The sequence below is a fragment of the Homo sapiens genome, chromosome 4 (genome assembly GCF_000001405.40).
Source record: "Homo sapiens chromosome 4, GRCh38.p14 Primary Assembly".
Classification (NCBI taxonomy): domain Eukaryota; kingdom Metazoa; phylum Chordata; class Mammalia; order Primates; family Hominidae; genus Homo; species Homo sapiens.
In genome coordinates, this window is record NC_000004.12 from 163,096,866 (window position 1) to 163,120,429 (window position 23,564).

Consider the following 23,564-nt stretch of genomic DNA (forward strand, 5'->3'; position numbering starts at 1 on the left):
CTCACTCTTTAAGTCCCACAATTACCATTGTTCCTGGCCCGGACTTCAATCCGGCCTCCCACATTATTCCTGATACCACACCTGACCCCCATGACTGTATCTCTCTGATCCACCTGATATTCACCCCCATTTCCCCATATTTCCTTCTTTCCTGTTCCTCACCCTGATCATGCTTGCCTCGTGCTATCCCCAAACTGCCATTCTTAACTCTTGAAGTAAATAAATAATCTTTGCTGGCAGGGCTATGCTGAATCTCCTTAGGCACTCTCTAATCAGATGTCCTGAGTAGTCCCAATTCTTAGACCTTTTATACCTGTTTTTCTCCTCCTCTTATTCCATTTAGTTTTTCAATTCATGCAAAACCGTATCCAGGCCATCACCAATCATTCTACACAACAAATGTTTCTTCTAACAACCCCACAATATCACCCCTTACCACAAAATCTTCCTTCAGCTTAATCTCTCCCACTTTAGGTTCCCACGCCGCCCCTAATCCCGCTCGAAGCAGCCCTGAGAAACATCGCCCATTCTCTCTCCACAACAACCCCCCAAAATTTTCGCCGCCCCTAGACTTCAACATTATTTTATTTTTCTTATTAATATAAGAAGGCAGGAATGTCAGGCCTCTGAGCCCAAGCCAAGCCATCGCATCCCCTGTGACTTGCACATATACATCCAGATGGCCTGAAGTAACTGAAGATCCACAAAAGAAGTAAAAATAGCCTTAACTGATGACATTCCACCATTGTGATTTGTTCCTGCCCCATCCTAACTAATCAATGTACTTAGTAATCTCCCCACCCTTAAGAAGGTTCTTTGTAATTCTCCCCACCCTTGAGAATGTACTTTGTGAGATCCACCCCTGCCCGCAAAACATTGCTCTTAACTTCATCGCCTATCCCAAAACCTATAAGAACTAATAATAATCCACCACTCTTTGCTGACTCTCTTTTCGGACTCAGCCCGCCTGCACCCAGGTGAAATAAACAGCTTTATTGCTCACACAAAGCCTGTTTGGTGGTCTCTTCACAGGGACGCACATGAAACTGATGGCTTCTGTACACTTAGTGAGAACTCAGGAAGAAGAAAATAATTTCCCTTTTATGGATTCATCTGAGCTGAGCACCAGATCCAGGACCTTCTAGTGAGCTTCAACAGTTTCATAACAAAATACATAAATGTGCTAACAATACTTGCCTCCTTTTCCTTTCGATCATTCTAAGACTTACTGGTGATCAAAGATAATTTTATATATATATATATTTTTTAAATGGCCCTTTTAGAGTTTTCCCGTAGTTCATTCAAATTGCTCTTATTGGCTTAACTATTCCCTGCATCAATGTATGATGATCGATCCTCTCATTTACCTAATATAGGAAGTCAAGGACCTAAATGAAAAATATTTATCTTACTGTTACAGTAAAACGGAATGACTTTCATTCCAAGTTCTACTTTGCTTTCTATACGTACGTGTTATTACATCTTGCGATTCCTTTTTTTATTCACCTGTGAAAAGTGAATCACATAAATATGTTATTTTTATTCATCTAGGAAAGTTAAATGTATTATTCACAGATAAGATTATGCAGCAAGACAATGGCCACACTGTCAGACTTGAGAGAAAATTTTAAAAATTAATGATTTTTCCCAACAGTATATCAACAACCAATTTTGAAGTACTTCGTTCATAGAAATTTTTATAGTGTAGAGAAAGAATCATTAAAATTTAGCTAGAGTCAGAAGGAAGAGGAGAGCAAGTCAGAAGATACGATGTAGAGAAAATCCTCCTACTGGGTGTTATGGGGAAGAGGGAGAGAGAGGTGGTACATGGTCGAATGTGTGCAAATTAATTTTAGGTTCTCTAGGCTCTATGTGTTTTGGGAGATGAGGGGTGGCGAGTGAGAGAAAGATACTTAGATACTATATGAGATAAGACCAAGGTGGGTTGGGCTGGGGGATCCAGGAGAAAGCAGCTCCCCAGCTGCCCCCTATCCACCTACTGGGGCACAGCCCCTGCAGAATAAACCTGGCAGCCTGAAGTTGAGCTTTCTTGAGTCATTCTGTACCATCTTTCAAGAGGTTTTGCCAAGAAAAATTTGGAACTTGGAAAAATTTTGGTACAACCAACGTGTGCCACCCATCAGCTGACAGAGGTACATTGGTCCCAGCCCCAGGAGTAGGGCAATGCCTATTTATTCTACTGAATGGTTTGTTTGAGTGAAAGTTAAGCAGGCTCTCTTCATTTTTCAAAACTAAACCTTTACTAAGGGCAACTTAAACATTCAACAGTTAAGTTTACTTTCTTATAGAAGAAGTCTTTCAAGTTAAACAAAAACTTAAATCAAAATCAATGCACTTATCACTTAACTTTTGTTTATGGTTCTTATTATTCATCACTTCTCTTTCTCGCTGCAGAGAAACACTCTTAATTTCTTTCAGATGCTTCAGTTCTGAGATATCAGGACTTTAACAGTACTGATCTCAGAGATTTCTTTTGGAGTAAACAACTAAGAAATTTCTTTTTGCTGCAGGCTGTGACTTCAAATTCAGTTTCTTTCTCTTTCATCTATCATAGGGTGAACTACCAAAAGAAAAAAGAAAACAGCCCGTTTTTTCTGATTGTTTCTCCCTGTTTTTATCTTCAACATAAGAAGCAGAAATAGGGCTGAAGGTAAAGAGAAAAAAAGAGGCTACATGTCTGTGTTTCAATGCTGAAAAGTCAAAAAAATGCCCAAGCCTAATCTCGTATAATATAAAATGACAAACTCACCGGGAGTTTACATTTTTTTTTATTCTACACTCCTGCTCACTTGAGTGTTTGTTGACTATTTATTATTAAAACAATGACAACAGAACTGATTAATTTTTATTGAACAAATTGTGATTGGTAAAGTTTTTATGTATGGACTTGAAATTTTTCTTTTTTCTTAGCTGTTTGTTTACAACTAAATTGTAAGCTTGTTGCAGACAGGGAATATATCTTCTATTTGCTTGTTCAAACTACTCTGTTTACCACAGTACAGGGTCTGCACTGGGTAATTTCAAGAGCTCCTTAGGCATATATATATATGTGTGACGTGCATCCGTGTGAAGAGACCACCAAACAGGCTTTATGTGAGCAACAAGGCTGTTTATTTCACCTGGGTGCAGGCGGGCTGAGTCCAAAAAGAGAGTCAGAGAAGGGAGATAGGGGTGGGGCCGTTTTATAGGATTTGGGTGGGTAGTGGAAAATTACAGTCAAAGGGGGTTGTTCTCTTGCGGGCAGGGGCGGAGGTCACAAGGTGCTCAGTGGGGGAGCTTCTGAGCCAGGAGAAGGAATTTCACAAGGTTAATCACTCAGTTAAGGTGGGACAGAAACAAATCACAATGGTGGAATGTCATCAGTTAAGGCAGGAACCGGCCATTTTCACTTCTTTTGTGATTCTTCACTTGCTTCAGGCCATCTGGATGTATACGTGTGGGTCGCAGGGGATATGATGGCTTAGCTTGGGCTCAGAGGCCTGACATTCCTGTCTTCTTATATTAACAAGAAAAATAACATAAAATAATATTTACGTGTTGGGGCAGCGAAAATTTTTTGGGGGTGGTATGGAGAGATAATGGGCGATGTTTCTCAGGGCTGCTTCGAGCGGGATTAGGGGCAGCGTGGGAACCTAGAGTGGGAGAGATTAAGCTGAAGGAAGATTTTGTGGTAAGGAGTGATATTGTGGGGTTGTTAGAAGCAGCATTTGTCATATACAATGATTGGTGATGGCCTGGATACGGTTTTGGATGGATTGAGAAACTAAATGGAAGACATAAGGTCGGAATAAGAGAAGGAGAAAAACAGATTAAAGGACTAAGAATTGGGAGAACACAGGACATCCAATTAGAGTGCCCAAGGGGGTTCAGTGTAATTACTTGCTTGGTTGGCAAGTTTAGGCTCTATCCTTGAGTTTTTTTTATGTTGTCATATACTAGGCCAGATTGATTTAGGTAAAAACAACACTTTTCATTTAAAAATATACAAAATATACAGAGTCCTTTTTTTTTTTTCTAGCAGTGAGTAAGTTGAGGCTTCCGAGATTTTGGAGGAAAGAGAAATACAAAGCCAACAATTGTCTGTTAAAGAAGGATTAGAAACCGCTAGGAGAGAGTGAGATTGATAGTGTGGAGATAGCTGGGGAGAGGTAGAGGGTGCCATAAGAACAGGAACAAGAATAAGAGTGAGTGTAAAAGTAAAGAATAGGACCTCATCAGGGTGAAAGTATTGGAGTGTACCCTGTTACCAAAGATCATCTATCCACTCTAAGAGGGAGTTAAGAGTGGCAGTTTGGGGATAGCACCAGGAAATACCAGCTGTGATGGCTTGGAGAAACAGTGTAAACTGGCAATGTAAACAAGAGCAGGACATTTATGAATAGTTGAGAACAGTGAATAGGAGCATGACTAGACAGAAGATAGTAGGGATGACAAGTTTTTGGGGTGCAGTCCAAGTTGGGCTGGTGTCTGGAATGAAACTGGGGCCAAATAGAAAGGAGTGTCCATACAGGAGCTCAAATGGGCTGTACCCTGTAGCATCCTGTGGACAGACTCGAATTCTTAGAAGGGCAAGTGGTAAAAGTATTGTCCAGTCCTTTTTAAGTTGGAGGCTGAACTTGGTGAGGTGTGTGTTTAAAAGACCATTAGTCCGTTTTACCTTTCCTGAAGATTGAGGATGGTAAGGGGTCTGAAGGTTCCACTGAATACCAAGAGCCTGAGAAACTGCTTGGGTGATTTGATTAGTAAAGGCCTGTCTGTTATCAGACTGTATGGAGGTGGGAAGGCTGAACCGAGGAATTACGTCTGACAGAAGGGAAGAAATGACCATGGTGGCCTTCTCAGACCCTGTGGAAAAGGCCTCTACCCAGCCAGTGAAAGTGTCTACCCAGACCAAGAGGTATTTTAGTTTCCTGACTCAGGGCATGTGAGTAAAATTAATTTGCCAGTCCTGCGCAGGGCCAAATCCCCAGGCTTGATGTGTAGGGAAGGGAGGGGGCCTGAACAATCCCTGAGGAGGAGTAGAATAGCAGATGGAACACTGAGAAGTGATTTCCTTGAGGAGAGATTTCCATGATGGAAAGGAAATGAGAGGTTCTAAGAGATGGGCTAGCGGCTTGTAACCTACATGGAAGAGGCTATGAAATGATGACAGAATAGAATGGGCCTGTGAGGCTGGAAGGAGATATTTTCCTTGGTCTAAGAATCATTTGCCTTGTGTGGGAAGAGATTGATAGGTGGAAGTTTCAGTGGGGGAGTAGGTGGGAGTGACCAATGAGAAGGAGAAAAACCAGCCGTGAGGGACAGAAGTTGGAATGCTACCTGCTTCTTTAGTTACCTTGTCAGCATAAGTGTTGCCCTGAACAATGGGATCTGACGCCTTTTGATGGCCCTTGCAGTGAATGACTCCAGCTTCCTTTGGAAGTAAAGCAGCCATGAGAAGAGTTTTTATTAAAGAGGCCTTAATGATGGAGGACCCTTGCGTAGTGAGGAAACCTCTTTTTGCCTATGTAACAGCATGGTGGTGTAGGATATGGAAGGCATATTTAGAGTCATTATAAATATTGACACATACTCCTTTTGCAAGAGTGAGGGCTTGAGTTAAGGCAATGAGTTTGGCTTGCTGAGAGATAGTGGAGGGGGGCAGAAAGTATATGCATCAGGTGTGAGGAAGAAAATAGATTTTGCAAGTTATAAGAACTGTAGAGAGTGAGTTGAGCATAGTTTGTGATTTTGAGGGCCTCTAAGTATCAGGGCGGTGGCAGCCACCGCACAGAGACATGATGGCCAGCCTAAAACAGTAAGGTCAAGTTGTTTGGACAAAAAGGCTACAGGGCGTGGTCTGGCTCTTGTGTAAGGATTTTGACTGCACAGCCCTGCACTTCCGCTGTGTGTAATCAAAAAAGGGTTGGGATGAGTTAGGGAGAGCTATTGTGGGAGCAGCTTTTAGGGCTATTTTTTAAGGAATGGAAAGGGGAGTGGGGAAAGGATTTAGGATTTATGGGGTCAGCTAGGTTTTTTGTGTGTGTGTGAGTTTATATAATGGTTTTGTAAGGATGGCAAAACCAGGTATCCAAAGGTCAAAGTATCCAACCATGCCCAGGAAGGAAAGGAGTTGTTTTGTAGAAGGGGTTGGGGTTTGAGAGATCAATTGGACACAATTGGCAGGGAGAGCACGTGTTTTCATCAAGAATTATGCCAAGATAGGTAATGGATGAGGAAGAAATTTGGGCTTGACTGAAGCAATGGGGGCTGTCTGCGAAGCCTTGCGGAAGTACAGCCCAGGTAAATTGCTGAGTCTGATGGGTGTCAGGGTCAGTCCAAGTGAAAGCGAAGAGAGGCTGGGATGAAGGGTGCAAAGGAATAGTAAAGAAATCATGTTTGAGATCCAGAACAGAATAATGGGTTGTGGAGGGGTTGCGGAGGGAGGTATTGGGGATAGGAAAGTATATGGGTTTGGCACCACAGGGTGGTTAGGCAAAACAATTTGGTTGATAAGGCACAGATCCTGAACTAACTTGTAAGACTTGTCTGGTTTTTGGACAGGTAAAATGGTGGAATTGTAAGGAGAGTTTATAGGCTTTAAAAGGCCATGCTGTAACAGGGGAGTGATAACAGGCTTTAATCCTTTTAAAGTGTGCTGTGGGATGGGATATTGTCATTGAGCAGGGTAAGGGTGATTAGGTTTTAATGGGATGGTAAGGGGTGCATGATCAGTCGCCAAGGAGGGAATAGAGGTTTCCCATACCTGTGGATTAAGGTGGGGAGATACAAGGGGAGGATGCGAAGGAGGCTGTGAACTGGGGAAAAGGGTGGCAACGAGGTGTGGCTGTAGCCTAGGAACAGTCAGGGAAGCAAAGGATTGATCTCCCAAGGGAGGTCCCCCAATCCGAGTCACGGCACCAAATGTCATGCACACCCGTGTAAAGAGACCACCAAACAGGCTTTGTGTAAGCAATAAAGCTTTTTAATCACCTGGGTGCAGGCGGGCTTCCACACCAAATGTCATGCGCGTCCGTGTGAAGAGACCACCCAACAGGCTATGTGTGAGCAATAAAGCTGTTTATTTCACCAGGGTGCAGGCGGACTGAGTCCAAAAAGAGAGTCAGAGAAGGGAGATAGGGGTGGGGCTGTTTTACAGGATTTGGGTGGGTAGTGGAAAATTACAGTCAAAGGGGGTTGTTCTCTTGCGGGTAGGGGTGGGGGTCCCAAGGTGCTCAGTGGGGGAGGTTCTGAGCCAGGAGAAGGAATTTCACAAGGTTAATCGCTCAGTTAAGGTGGGGCAGAAACAAATCACAATGGCGCAATGTCATCAGTTAAGGCAGGAACCGGCCGTTTCCACTTCTTTTGTGATTCTTCACTTGCTTCAGGCCATCTGGATGTATACATGCAGGTCACAGGGGATTATGATGGTTTAGCTTGGGCTCAGAGGCCTGACAATAAGCATGTAGTTAAGGCTGTAGTTCTATTAATGCCATATTTGGTGTACTTCGCAATTCATAAAAATAGGTTTTCAATAAATTTGAACATACATACTCACTGAAAAAAGATACTTTGTAAAAATGGCTATAAAAATATGGTTAATGTTGGGTTAATATTGGATTCTGATATATTTCATACCTATGATCTCATTTTGTTTCTAGTTTTACTGATATAACCAACCTTGGACACCCAAAGATGTTGTTTTTATTTCTGAAATTACTCAGCTATAGTAAAGTATCAAGAATAGATATTTATATTTAAGAAGACTCACCCATCCCAGACACTGAACTCACTAATTAGCCGGTCAGAAAGATCACTAAGGAACAATTTACAATGCAATAAAAGTGATACGCTTTACTTTCTGAGTAACAGCAGAGCAAGAGGTTCCATAAGAATCCTGGCAAAGCAATCTTTCCACTTTCAATGTTGATCACTTAGATCTTGTGAAATTCGTGGTGATTTTTAGTATAAATGACTAGGAAAGCTATTATTTGTGCATAAGAGAAACCTAACTTAATTATATCCATAACTCAACAATTTGCTCAGTGCTTTTTTGTGCATTGGGAAATTATGTTTCAGAAAACCAAACCAAAACAAAACCAGTCGTTGAAATTTTCTTTATTAGACTCAGTACAAATCTTTCTTCATCCTTTATTAAGTGTTATTCTTGCAGTATATAAGAAGGGATCAGCAGCCCTCTACTATTTAATCATTAGTTTGAAGTTTCTATTGTTGTTCCTGGTGTGTATTGTTATATGCTGGAAAATTCTTAAGATGCAGTTGGTGCAGAGGTTAAGATATCAGCCATGGGCTCTGGGTTAAGGCAGAGCCTGATGCAAATCTCAGCTCTGCAATTTGCTGGCTGTGTGAGCTTTGGTAAGTTAATCACTGTGAACTGCAGTTTACTTCATGATATAATTCAGATAATAACAGCTCTAATAGCATTATTATAAACATTAAGTAAGATAACATCTATCGAATTACCACTTAACACAATGCCTGGTGTATAGTTCAAAATGCTTAATAAATGTTACCTGTAAATAGTTCCTAAAGTAAAAACTGGAGGCAAATAGAATAATCACAAGCTGAAACATCACTTTTGAAGCTGTTATCTGTGACCCTTAACTAAAAATGCGTCAGCTATTTAATATTAAACCAATTAATATGAATATCCTATCTCATGCTGTCTCTAAACTTTAGAAGACAGTCTTTTATTATTGCATAAAAATCTGTTGGAAATAATTTCTTAAGATCATAAAGAGTGCATTACATTTTCATTATATTATAAGCAAAATTTCATCCCTACAAAATAGAATGCCTATTTAACTCAAATAAATTTGATATACTTCCTTTTGGTTAAACAAGTATATTGCATTTTATAAGTAAATTATTTGGACTTGTCTGGCTTGTATCTGTCTTAAATCTTTTAGCAGATGTGGAAAACATGTTTATTTTTGCAGTGTTCAATAATTGTCTGCTAGGTTTTGTCACTGAATGCAAGCTCTAATTCAACTTCTGCTGAGAATTAGGCTTAAGTTATGATTGAGAATAAGAAAATTATGAGCAAGTTGCCAATTATATCTTGAAAAATGTTTACTTCTAAACATTTTGTTCTAAGTTGCATATTTCATTTAAACATGTCAATATTCTTTAATATTAGTCTAATCATTTAAAGGATGTTAGTTTTTTTGTGTAAGAAACACACAATTAATCAATGCATTTTCATTAACCACACCTGTGGGAGGCCTCATTTGGATTTGAACCAGGAGACCACTATTGACAGTTATCCCAAACAAAGACATAATATTAACCTAGGAGCCCCAAATATGTGTAGTGAGGAAAACTCACAATGGTTTGCCAGTGTTCTTATTACATTATTTCAAACTAAGGAATTTGATTTTGTAAATTAAAGTATGCCAAACATCCTCAGAATCTAAGTGTTGCACTGACCAATATGGTAATGCACTAGCCCCAAGTGACTATATGCTAAATTTAATTAAAATTAAATGAAATTTAAATTTAATACTTCAGTCCCACTGCTATACTTCAAGAACTTAATCCCAAATAGCTAGCACTTTCATATTAGAAAGTGCCTATATAGTTCCTGTCCATCACAGCAGGGTATTTCATTGGACAACACTAGTCTAGCGTTTCCATTTTCTATAGTAATGAAAACTAAAGTGAAAAAGAACTACTGAAATAATATGAATAGTAAATAGTCATTTTTTTATTTCTGTATTTTTCTCTGCCCACTTGTTTCTTATATTAATACAGAATCATCCAATAAGATTTCAGCCTAAAAATGGAATAATTTATTTTAATTAATAAATAATTCAGAAAAACAATCAAGAGTTAATCTTATGTTTTCTGAGGTATGTTTTCTGAGAATATAGAAAAAAAACCTGAGTGTTAGATGAATATTAACTTATACAGAGAAATCTAAAATAAAGATCTATTTATCAGTGGCAAATTAGGCAAAACTAGTAGACAAAATTCACTTCAATTTATAGTACCACACATTTGAGAGAATCCTCCATTCTTTTCTCATATTTTCAAAGAATGATACATTTCAGGGTTATTTCTCCACGCCTACCTTTCTTAGAAAAAGTGGCTAATTTGAGGCTTTCTTTTTTTTTTTTGAGATGGAGTCTCGCTCTGTCAGCCAGGCTGGAGTGCAGTGGTGCAATCTCGGCTCACTGCAACCTCCGCCTCCTGGGTTCAAGTGATTCTCCTGCCTTAGCCTCCCGAGTAGCTGGGATTACAGGCACCTGCCACCACACCTGGCTAATTTTTGTACTTTTAGTACAGGCGGGGTTTCACCGTGTTGGCCAGGCTGGTCTTAAGCTCTGGACTTCAAGTGATCCGCCCGCCTTGGCCTCCCAAAGGGTTGGGATTACAGGCATGAGCCACTGTGCCTAGCACTTTGAGACTCTTGCTACTTACGTCATTTTGCTAGTAAAGGGGATCATTGGGCCCAAAAGCAAGTCTCTATGTGTACTTGCTGAGAGCAGCCTGTGCTCAGATACAGCAGGCTCCTTCAGCCTGCTCTTTCACTCTGTGTCCAGGTACACTGTGCTCTCGCTGTGCAATTTTCTCTCCAGGACAGAGCTTTCCCTCTTTCTGTTTCAGGTTTAGATCGTCTTGTAGGAATGACTTGACTACAATTCAAACAATATGGACCTCACTTCAGTCCCAGATCTAAGCACAGTCTGTAAAGAAGCTTTTACCTGAGAGTCCTACATTGCTCGACTATTTTAAAAAAATGGTTCCCATAGGACTATTAGTTCTCTATTATTTGTTCCATTAGCCTGAACCTGGGGAGAATAAGATTTTTTTAATAAATGGAAAGCACAATGTACAATAGTGTTTCTTAAGCTTTTTTGGTTATCCCCTCCACCCTGCTTGCCAAGGAGCCTTTTTAGATATTTTTTCCCTAATCCCCCACTATGAAATTATAATACCCCAGATATGCTGTATCTGTAATTACTGTATGTATGTCTGTGCTTAATATTGTACATTAAAAAGATAAGAACTTTCCACCTTCCAATAATGAAGTTTTATCCCCTTGGGGGCGATATTGCCCTCTTTGATAATGTTTGACATACAGGAATTGAAACATCAGAAATAGATACTACTTTCAATATTGCAGAACATTGTCAAGTATATTTCAAACCATTTAGCTTGCTAGAGTGTGGAAATTAAGAAAATTTTTTTTTCTTCCTGCATGCAACATAATTTGCATATATCAACAGCGATGTAAGTAAGGAAATAACTTATTTGGGCTTTCTGAAAAGTCATAGTATCTGAAATCACCTGGCCCTTGACCTTAAAAGATCTTATGTCATTCTACTCCAGCATTTTTCACTGTAATTGCTTATAGGCAGGGAAGGATTGTGGAAGAATGAGAGACAAGGATATGGAGAAAGAACAGAGAAATGGCTGTAGGTACCTAGATCATGGCATATGGTACATCTTTAACTTTCCAATAACCATTAATTCAAGCCCATTAGCCAATAGCTTGCTCATGTTTCTTTTGAAGCCTCCTAAAACAATAGTTGACACCTGGAGAACATCTCTTACTCCCCAACTTCAATTATGAAAAGAAAATAATATTCAAATGTTAAGCACTGAATTCAATAAGAGAAAGCCAGTCACAGATTAAAGAAATAATTGCTAAGATTTACACTAACCTGTTTTTTCACTTAGTCAAAAATGTCCTCCATATTGGTTGATAAATCAAGAAATCTTTACAATTAAAATAAATGGTGCTTCACTGATATTTTCTTCCATTATGCTTTATAAAACTAATAGAATATGGGTTTTCAAAGAGTAACATATTATTCTTAAAATGTATTCAATTAAAGTTAACACAGGCAAAAATACACTCTCTAATGTATTCTATCATGCATTCCCTCATTCAGTGAATACTCTCTGTGGGCCTACTATGTGCCAGGCATTATGCACCAGACGAAAACATATCTTCTTGAGAAGCCAGTGCTAAGTCACTGTTCTTGTTCATATTTGGATCCCTTCCCTTTTCAGGTGAGTTTCTTACAAGAAAAGGGCTTAGTGTCTTTTCCCTTTGTTAAGTTTCTTAATGAAATTAGGCTTAGGAAGACTGAGTTCCCTATTCCGTCCTTTCTCTTCCTAAATCTTTACTGTATGTTGAGAGTAAATATTAAAAACTTTCTGACTGTACTTATCATATTCCAAGGCATTTCAGTGAGGAGCAGAAACAAGCTTTTTATTAAATCATCTCCAGTCATGTAAGGTTTTGGTGCTCTCCTTTTCACCCTTTTTTTTTTTTTTTTCACATGGAAACTTAATCTTGGAGGGGCTAAGTGAATACAACTTCGATTAAATTACTACTTTCACAAACAACTCAAGAATACTTAGTTCTTCTCCCTCTTCATTAGCTTCTATCTTCGTATTTCTTATCAAATATAAAATTTATAGAGAATTTATACCATAAATTCTCTCAAATGATGCACTTAAAATAATTTCATGATTAAAAACTAATATTATCTACCTATGCTAATCTGAAACATTAGCCTACAATTGTTATTTATTCACTTTGGGGAAAGAAGAAAAAAGTTTTGAGTAGTTACACTCCATTTATTAAAAATCCTTTATTTTCTAGTGTCTAAAATATTTCAATGTCTAGGAAGAAAAAAAATCCTCTTGTGAGGTTAATAATGTATTCAAAGCATTTTTCTATTAGTTAGTGAATTTAAAAAGCACATACAGAAAGAACACAAGTGGTAACAGAAAAGTGAGGATGATCTAACCCTACCTCACAGCCTAAAAAAAGAATGCTATGACTTGTTTCTGTGAGGTCCCCAAGTGGCAAGGAGAGAGTGCTCCATGGGGAGCTAACACCTGACATTTTGCACAGAAAGGTGTCTCCTAGAATTACCTCACACTCTGCATAGATATAGAGATTACTGTCATCTTCAGTGAGTTTGAGAGGGGCCTATAAATAGGATCAGGTGAGGTCTGAATAAGCAATGATGTGTGTCTGATCTTCTGATCCAGAATGAAATGAAAACATAATTAGTTAACACGGAATGTGCTTTTAAAATGCAGATATGTAATCCTTATCTTACTTTTGTATGTCTCTCATTTTTACCTTTGTTTACTGCAAATGATATGTGAGGTAGCATCCTGCCCTATTAAGTATGCAGATATGGAGAACATTCAGTAAGATAGCTTTTCATTATTTATTTAGGCAGAACATACAGTACTTGAAATCTGTGGGTTGCCATGAGGTTCCCATGGCAACTCTTCTATGGATAAGAATGCTTGACTAGGCTGGTAGACTTGCTGTTACCATCACCAGCCATACCATCATTTGAGGATACAGTACTCTCCCCTCATCTGTGCTGTCACTTTTCGTGGTTTCAGTTACCTTCAGTCAACCATGGTCTGAAAATAGGTGAGGTAAAATCAGATATTTTGAGAGAGAAAGAATACATTCACATAACTGTTACTACAAAATATTGTTATAATTGTCCTATTGTATTATTAGTTGTTGTTAATCTCTTACTGTGCCTATTTCCTAAATTAATCTTTATCATAGGTATGTAAGTATAGGAAAAATCATGGTATATATAGGGTTCGCTACTATTTGTGATTTCAGGCATCCGCTGGTCTTGGAACATATCCCCCAAGGCTCAGGGGGAGCTACTGTATCATCATCTTAACTTTGAAAGTTAACTTGTAAATGAATTTTGCATATTCTCTTACTGATCTGGAAATCTAAGGTCAAGCAAAAGTGATGTTTATTTGCTTCAATACATTTCCACTGAAAGAGGACAGGAACTAGAGACAGATTTTAAGCTTTCAGTTTTGTTTTTGGTTTTCCTATTTTTGTTTCCATCAAGTTAAATTCTACTATGGATTTTTTTAACTCAAAATTGATGAGCTCTAGCACTTTGTAGCGTAGTTATTTACATATTTAGTCTTAGGAACCTGGAACTGTAATCTCTAGGGATTTATTTATATTTTTTAAAAATGGATTAAGGCCTACATCAAAACTGAGATAGAGCTGCTTGAGTTTTGTTTCTCCCTCTATAATAACTAGAAATTGTATTCCTTTTCACATATTAAACACCGGAAACATTTTAAAAAAGGTAAACCCCAAAAATTGCTTTTTGAAGGTTCCTCAGAAAACTCCTTACTAATTTATATCTCGCAAAAAAACTTTTTTGTAGATTTCTGGACATAACTTCAACTATTGCATAACTACCTTTTGTTTTTTTCAGAAGTGACAAGTGTTGAATATATACTTCTAGATACAAAGCTGAAGGACTGATTTGGTGTTAAAAAAATAGGTGAATATGAGTCAAGTTAGGAAGTAATTGAATACCAGAGGAGAGGGAGGAAGTAGTGGGAAAATGTCTTTGGTAGTTGTCAACCCATTTGAAACATTTAAATTCAGAGTGCTATCCCTAGAAAATTGGAAAGCAGGTTAATTCTTTAACCACCATTATTCCCTCCCCATCTCTGAGCATAAAGTAAAAGTAATATACAATCCTTATTGTTCTTCTATTTTGTTTTGAAACACAAAATAAAATGAAATAGAATGAGCTTGATCAACTGGAAGGATGGAGTTGTCATAAACTGAGGGAGCAGAAATGTCCAGTGGCGCAAGTTTGGGGTGAATTTAGAATTCATTTTGGACGTTAACATACCTATTAGTCATTTAAATAAAGATGTCAGGGAGTTTGTGCATTTCTGAGTCCAAGTGTCTGGAAGAGAAATGTGTACATAAAAAACATAAATGGATCAAGCATGAACTCTGTGACCCTCCTACCTTAAGAGACAGGGAAAAGAGAATCAATTAGAAAAGGGGACTGAGAAAGTAGAGCCACCGCTAGTGTTTTGTTCTAGGTAAATGGCATTTCTTCGAATTGTGCACTAGGTGGCCCATCTGAGAGTGAGCCGTGAACTAGGAGGAGAAAAAAGTAAAAGAGTTTGATGTCCTGGAAGCCAAGTGGGAAACATTTTAAGGAGTAGAAAATTTTATCAATCACGCAAAAAACGTTAAGTATGATGAAGACTGAGGTCAGACCATCATAGTTTGCACTGTAAAAGCCATTGATGACTTTGAAAAGGGCAGTTTCCACTAATGGAGGGGGAAGCCTGATTAGAATAAGCTACAGAGGAAATGGGAGAAGAGGAATTGGGAGTCTGAGATTATTAATAATTTTGCAAAAGAAAGCAGAACAGCTCAGTAGCTGGTGAAATGGGCCAAAGCAAGGATAAAAAAAATAAGATGAGAGAGATAATAGCGATTTTACAAAATGGAAAAAATGATTGGGGGGGGAGAAAAATTGCTAGAGTTCTCTCTCTCAGTAAGCAAAGACAGTACACAAATAAAGTGATTAGCTTTAAGTAAAAGTACTCTGTAAAGAAGGCAGTCATAGAATATTGAGGAAAAAAGTAGGTTGGTAGGTGAACATGGTGATGGAAATCTGAATGTATTTGAGCTATCACAGGTTGGATTCACTGGAAGCAAATACTGAGATGGAAATTGGAATACTGAACATGTGTTAGGGATCAACACTTAGGGAAGGGAGAGAGAGGAAACACATGGATGGAGGAGAAATTCAAACTGCAGTACATGCTTGGCAAAGCTTAACCAACCCAAAGAGAGCTCTGGATTTGTTCCTCCAGCCTTTATGCTGCCCTCAACCACTCCTTCTGGAAATGGACATTGGATTTGGGCTCCCCCTAGAAAGGTGCACTTAGGGCTCTCCATAAGTGAGATGGACTTTATAGTTGCTGAATGCTGGAAGATATCTGCTAACCCCAGCAGCTGGGGTATAAGGCTCTTTTTGTGAAGAGGGATGTGGATGATACAGCTCTATGTCCACCCAATAAAACTGTTTCCATTTTCTCAGTACAAAGAGGAAAACAAAACTGCTACTGAGGAGGGATAGTGAAATCAGGGAACAGAAGGCTTGAAGGTTGTAGAGGAGAGTTATGAAATTGTCACCTTGGTGAGTGACAAGTGAATGGACTAGGAAAAAAATATTGCAGCTTTAAGGCTCCCTTTTAGGTTTGGTAGTTATGAATCTCAAGTGATACCAGACAGCATGAGTGTTGGGTTTTCTCCGATCACGTTCAACTCTATATGTGTAGATGCAGGAGCAAAGGGAGACAAGAAGAAAAATTGAGACATCAAACCATTAGTAGGAGGCCAGATTATTTAGAGACTTGTCAGCCATTTAAGAATCTTGTCTTTTGTTTCCCAGTTAGATGGCAAGCACTTCAGGGTTCCTTTTAATCCTTTTGGTTTTGAGAAATAATACATATATAGATAGTTCCAGAATATAAGTGTACAGCTCAAAAAACTATCACAAAGCGATCCCCCTTGTTACCTTAGTCAATCCAAGGAAGAGAGTATGGCCAGCATGGAAACGGTCCCCTCTGGTCCTCTCCCAATTATTATTCACTTCTCCACTTTCATAATTCCTCTCCTAACATCTATGGTAATCCCTTGTTTTTATTTTTTTAATAGTTATGCCATCAAAACTTGTAAGGTTAGTTTTAATTTTTTCATCTTTTCAAAAATGCAATTAGACCGTATATCCTTTTTGTATCTGGAAGTTTTGCTCTCCATCATGTTTTTGAGATGCATCCACAATGCTGCATTTGTAAGTTCAGCCGCCCACAGGATCAGACTTCAAGCTTGGTTTTCAGAAATTTTAACCCTGCAGCTACAGGAGATATTTCTCTGTGTCTGTGTTTTCCAGGACAATTATAGAAGTTTCCTGGATCCCTACCCAGGTTGTGGATTAGGATTTAAAGCCATGAACTCATCTTTTCCTTCTTCCGTATCCTCCAGTACACTTAGTAGAAATCAAATCAATGCAAAAGCCTTTATTCTTTATTCCCACAATAATGTTTATTGCAGCAACTACTTGATCACTTAAAGTTATCTTCTCCAGACCATAGCTACCTGTTTAGTTATTGCATGCCATGGACTACTTGTGTTTTATTTACCATGGCAATGAGGTCACTAATGCCTTTAAATCTAGTAGGATTCTCATCCTTAAAATTCTATTGCTTCTACTCTAATTCACTTCTATTACCAAAAACTGTATTAGCCAAGATTCGGTCAGAAAAACAAAGCCACTACAAATATCATGTGAAAAGGAGGTTTACCACAGGAATTAGAGCATACACCAATGTGTGGGAAACTGGAAAAGGAAAGACTGGAAGAGAATGGAGAAATAACAGCATCACTAATATGACAGTTGTGGGTATGTAGGAGCATGAGGTAAAATTCAGGAAACTGCATGTATCTAGCCACTGAAGTAGAACCACAGAGGGGATTTGTGGAGAGGTCTGTGGAATCTACTGCCTCTGAGGAAATGGCAATAAAGCACTTAGTAGTCAGCAGGTCCAGAAGCTGGGCAGAGCTAGAAGCTAGAGCTACCTGTGTCTGTCACTAAGTCTGGGACCAGGAGCTTCCTCCTGGTATTTACCCCTCCTTTGCTTCTACCTGTCCAATCTTGTGAGTGCCTTCCTTGATCAACTCGAATCCAGAATTATGCTGAACACAGGATTCCAGAAAATTTATTTTCAAGGCTTACACAGGAGTGGGAGTGCCAAGTTGATAAATTCAGAACATTCTGTTCATGTGATGAATAATGATGGATAATCACGTGTTAAACCAATCTCGTATTCCTGGAATAAGTCCCACTTGGTAGTGTATCTTCTTTTTATATTTGCTGTTTCCATGTTGTTAATTCACTCTGTGAGTAGTATTTTTATATCTACATTTGTGAGATCTGCTTGCAATTTTTCTTCTTTATAATGTCCTTGTCAGATTTTGGCATCAAGTTTATGTTGTCCTCACAAATGGGTGACATTGTCTCTTATTTTTCTACTTTCTGGTAAAGTTTACGTAAAATTACATATTTTGTCCTAAAATATTTAGTAAAATTCACTGGTAAAGGTATCTGGACCTGGGGTATTTGCTGTGGGAAGATTCTTTTATTTTTCCATATGGTTTCTACTTAATAGAGGACTACTCTGATAATTTATTCCTTTTTGTATCCATTTTCATAAGTTTTTCTAGAAATTTGACTATTTCACTTACATTTTTACATTTTATTGGCATAAAGTTATTCATAATATCATCCTATTTCCTATGACGGTTATCTTAACTATAAAAATGTGACAGTCAATTAGACTTTCTTCATAATGTCATCATAAATAAATTTCAAAACGTAGGATCATTAGGACCACAGGCATGAAAGACTCTACATTTTTTCTGTTATTCTCAATAAAGTTTGATACTATTGGCGATATAGGACAATAATTTTTTTATTTATTTTTTTTTTTTTTTGAGACAGAGTCTCGCTCTGTCGCCCAGGCTGGAGTGCAGTGGCGCCATCTCGGCTCACTGCAAGCTCCGCCTCCCAGGTTCACGCCATTCTCCTGCCTCAGCCTCCCGAGTAGCTGGGACTACAGGCGCCCACCACCGCGCCAGGCTAATTTTTTGTATTTTTAGTAGAGACGGGGTTTCACCGTGGTCTCGATCTCCTGACCTCGTGATCCACCCGCCTCGGCCTCCCAAAGTGCTGGGATTACAGGCGTGAGCCACCACACCCAGCCAGGACAATAATTTTTTTGAAGCCGTTGCCATACTCAGTATGATAATCATGTTTCTATTTATTTTTTGCCAATCTGATACACTCAAAATAGTATTCTTAATTTTATTTTTATTTCTTTAATTAAGTTTATTTGGAAGGTTGGGCAGTATTTTTGCAAATTTTTATTGGTAGTTTTTTTGTGACTGGGCTGACACATCCTGTGGGTTACATTTTGATTTAAATGAGTAAACAGGAAAAATCTACAAACAGAAAAGAAGTCAAGTTCTTTCAATATGACCACTGACCAGTGTTACTAATAGGAAATTACTACTGAAAATACAAGTTGTACCCTTTATAATGTGTACAAATGCAACAAAATCTTGCAGCTGTTTTGCATAATTCTTCCCTATCAGTTTTATTTGTAGAGATCTATTTCTATGCACAATTTTAAAAGTAAAACAAAAAACTACATTTGCCAAATTATCATGTATACTAATATCATCATGACACTAAATTGCCTCTTGAAGCAAAATTGATTTAATAAACCAATAAAGATGCAACAGATGCATTCAATTCAACAGATTTTAGAAGTCTAAGTTCTTGCTAAACTTATTCTAAATAAATTCCTAAAACTGACACAATATGGCAATCTGATGACACATCATCAGTTTTTGATTGATATTGAGTTAATGCTAATAAACAACAATCCAGTTTCCAACTAATTAATAGGTCCAAAAATGTTATGAAGTTTTAACCCAGTGGTGTATACATAAGTGAAACCCTTGAAAATGTGTAGTTTAATTATGAAACTGCTACCACAAGTGTCCTTATTATGGAATTTTGAGAAAATTATAATTGGATGAATAGAAAAGTGTTATCACTGAGTTAACCTTGAATTATTTTTGTTCGTGTGTGTGTGTATGTCTGTGTGTGTGTGAGAGAGAGATCTGTATTAAGGCATATATGGGTATTAAATATATGCAGTTAGTTTCTAGCAGAATTTCTTAGCACTAATGTCTCCTTAAATATAAATTTAACAGTTTTTTTCCTTAGTCTTTGTTATAATATTTCTTCTTCTCTTCCTCAATTCCAACTTTGAAAATCTTGTGGTTTACTAGTGCCTTTGAGGAATCCTACAATAGTGGCTACAAGCTCAGATCCTGGGATCAGACAACTCCTGTGTTCCACATGATTTCATCAAGTACTAGCTGCAAGAAATCAAACAAAATCTTTAACCTATACAAGTCTTCACTTTTCTTCCTTATAAAATGTTAATGTTTACTACCTCACAAAATTGTTGTGAAGATGTAAACACATAAAAGATGCAAAATATATCCCTTTTTTCAGGGACGACCACCCTACCTAGCCATTCAAACCATCAATAAAGCCAAGAGTCATTCCAGACATCTTCCTTCTGCAGCACAATCCCTAACATTGCAGAGTCCTGTCAATTCATGTCCCATTACTTCCAGGATAAAATCCAAACTCCTCAGTAAGGCCCCAAAGGTCTCCTGTCACCTGACTTATGGTTACTTTCTAGCTCTAGGAATTGTTTTCTTCTATTCCATCCTTGTACACTCTTCATACCCGTCATACCTATCTACCTGCTGGTTTCAAAACATGCTGAGCTGTTTTACAGTTCTACGGCTTTTCTCAGGTTTATCTTTTATTTTTTAAGATTCAGCCCTAAGATCATGTTCTCTGTGAATTATTCCCTACCTTCCTCCTCTTCCCATCTGTACCCAAGGTGGAATAGACTTTTCTCACCTCTATGTTCCCACCATACCTTGTACAAACATATACTTGTATTATAGCACCTAGTGTCTTTATTCATCCATTTTCTAATATTGCACTTAGGATTGCATTCCCAGCATCAAATGACTGACCAATAATAAGCACAAAACAAATGTTCATTGAATAAATGAATATATTAAATTTCAATGGCTCTCTAATTTCACTAGGTTGGTTCATTAACGGAAATATTAACAGCAACTTATATGTACTTCTCCACTTGTTGCTCCAAGAGATTTACAGGTTTGTGCTTCTATTTTTTTTTTTCATACTTTCAAGTAAATCTAAGTACATGGCCTCAGATGGCTTTCTCATCCTGAACTATTTTACAAAGTAGAGAAAACCAGAAAGGGAAAGCAAATGTCTCCTAGGATACTAAGTCTTCTCTTATTATTTTTAAACTCCCTGGAAGCAATACACACACACACACACACACACACACACACACACACACGCATGAATACATCATCCATTATTCGTTGCTATCTGTAAAGGTCAGCACTCTGGTATGTTTATGGATAGAACAGCATGGATACACTCTTACTGAATGATCATATAAAGATCAACCCAAAAACCTTGCAGATTGATTAGCCTTAATCATTTGGTAGCCAAATTTTGGTGTCATCTGAAGTTGAATTTTTTTAAGCAAATTTTATTATCCTAGGGAAAAAATAATAATTTTTCTAAAATGCTATGATTTCCAAATTAGAGGTGATAGGGTCCTCTCAAAACCAGTTCCAAGAAAAAGAGAATTCATGTTCCATTTATCTTTCAGAGCCATTTTTGATGAACAACTGACCTGGAAATCTGTGCTAAAATAGGTTTATGATACCTTGTGAAATACTTTCAAGTCATTAAAAAAAAAGAATCCTCACTAATGCTTGTCACAATAATCTTGAATCCACACATATAAACCACTATACTCTAGAAACACAAAGGAGAATCCCAGGGGTGATGAATCAGAAAGCGGTATCTAGAAACAAGGTTTCAGTTACTGTCTCTCAAGTAGCTTCTCTGTACTAGAGTAGGGACAGGTGTAATAAAACAGTGCTGGCCCTCAGACAATACTTAAACAGAAAAGATGATTTAAGCAATCAATTACAATAAAATGTCATGAATATTATGACAAGTAGAGCACTGTATGAGAACTGAAGTCTATTCTCATATCTCATGTTACATTCACAGACAGAAATAAAACCTATTTTTGGCCAGGCACGGTGGCTCACGCCTGTAATCCCAGCACTTTGGGATGCCAAGGCAGGTGGATCACCCAAGGTCAGGAGTTTGAGACCAGCCTGGCCAACATGGCGAAACCCCGTCTCTACTAAAAACACAAAAATTAGCCGGGCGTGGTGGCACATGCCTGTAGTCCCAGCTACTTGGGAGGATGAGGCACAAGAATCACTTAAACCCGGGAGGTAGAGGCTGCAGTGAGCCAATATCGCACCATTGCACTCCAGGCTGGGCGACAGAGAGAGACGCTGTCTCAAAAAAAGAAAAAAAAAAGAAATAAAACTTATTTTATATGAGCATTTGTAACGGTCATTGCTACTTGCCCACATTAGGAACTGTCATGACATATCTATCCAGTCCAGCCAGCTATGTGAAAAAGTACCTGGATGGGTCCTTTGACTAGAACTCTATGAGAACTAACAAAATATTAACTAGCATGACTGAATCTACTTTTTTATAAGGGCAATTTATATATTTTGCTTTTCTATAACAAAAACAAATTATGCAACTATAAGACTTATATATAAACTTTCAGGTCCTCTAAGTAAATGGAGAGACACCTTAGCCTATTAGGCCTATGAGAATGGTCTCATTCTGGTCTTCATTTCTCTCCTTCCAGAAACCTCTCTGAATGATTTTCTACATTCCATTTGTATCTTATCCTTTTCTGTTGTTGTTGCGTATGGGCATTTTTTAACTATTTGTAGAATGTCCTTAGAATTTGTGTGGACTTGCTCAGATTTCACTGTTTATCACAATATGCCTGGAATCAGCTTCATAAAATAGGGACAGACCATTAAATTTGTTAAGCTGAATATAGTGCCCCTTCTTTTAATGTAAGAATGATTTCCTATTTATATCCTAAATGACGGACTCTTTGTCTCCAGCCTCTTTTTCTGTCTTCAGATACTACTTTGAAAACAAGATGAAAGCCATGGAATCTCCCGAGAAAAATGTACATCTTACAGACTTTCAGTGAGTTCTGGAATACCAGGAACCAGAGCCCACACTAATGAACAGCAGTTTCCTAACCTAATGCGAGAGATTTGAGATTTCTTCTGGCTCCCATGATCTTCTAATTGTCTTCTTAGCAAGACTAAACACATCTCCAAGAAATGTGCACTGCCATGAATGTCTTCCAGCTATCTTCTATGACAGCACTTCCCAGTGTGTTCTGTGGAATAATGGTACAGGGTGATATTCTATGAAGAAAAATACGGAAAGTAATATACTCCACAGTCCGTATATTAGATCGGACTAATAAAAATAAATATGGAAAGTAATATATTCCACAGTCATATATTAGATCGCCTACACAACAGCAATTTGATATAGTTTAATAGGATTTGAATGAATAAAATTAATGCCCACAGCTACTTTCTTCTGCCGGTAAATATTTTTCTGCCCATAATCTTGCTAAACAGAATTCATCTGAACTTACGTTGTTGCCAACAAATATACGAACAATTATACCTAATCAAAAACAAAAACCAAACTGATGTTAAAGAAAATTAATCATTTGCTTTGAATAAATCAACTATTAAGAAAGCTTATATAATTGAGCCTAACAGTGCCAAATCATGTCTGAGATGAAATGCTGCATGATACATAATCAAACAGACATTTGCAAGAGCTGTGGGTTGGGGGAGAGTGCAAATGTTTCCCAGCACTCCTGTATGTCATGGGAGCACACAATAAAACACTTGAAAAGCTGCAATAATAAAAGGTTTAAAGAGCTGCAATAATAGGTTTTGCACACTGTAGTGGCTACTGACACTGAGAACATTTTAGAAGTTCATCTCTATCATCCAAACACTACACACCACCATATCTATCTATTACGTTTTAATAGGAATTCTATACTAATATTTTATCCCTTTGCATCTGCTCTATTTTACTATTTGGGTCATATCTCTTGTTAGAAACAATGTT

At 38.0% G+C, this 23,564-nt stretch overlaps 1 protein-coding gene and 1 long non-coding RNA gene across 5 annotated transcripts in view; one reads left to right on the top strand and one right to left on the bottom strand.

The window, feature by feature from the left end:
- Positions 1-7,063: 7,063 nt before the first annotated feature.
- Positions 7,064-23,564, bottom strand: part of NAF1 (nuclear assembly factor 1 ribonucleoprotein) — a 62,962-nt gene continuing 46,461 nt past the window's right edge. Inside the window, exons 10-11 of one of the 4 annotated variants that reach the window (XR_938798.4) lie at positions 14,694-14,750; positions 7,064-13,425 (exon numbers count right to left, since the gene is read on the bottom strand). The gene's annotated coding sequence lies outside the window, so the exon portion shown is untranslated. Of the gene's footprint in view, positions 14,751-22,664; positions 22,807-23,564 lie in introns of all 4 variants that reach the window. The other 3 variants (XR_001741349.3, XR_938799.4, XR_001741350.3) reach the window with 3 other exon arrangements.
- LOC101928081 (uncharacterized) lies at positions 13,350-23,008 on the top strand. The gene is made up of 3 exons (XR_244745.4): positions 13,350-13,435; positions 20,570-20,642; positions 22,520-23,008. It is a non-coding gene; the product is annotated as an uncharacterized LOC101928081 (long non-coding RNA).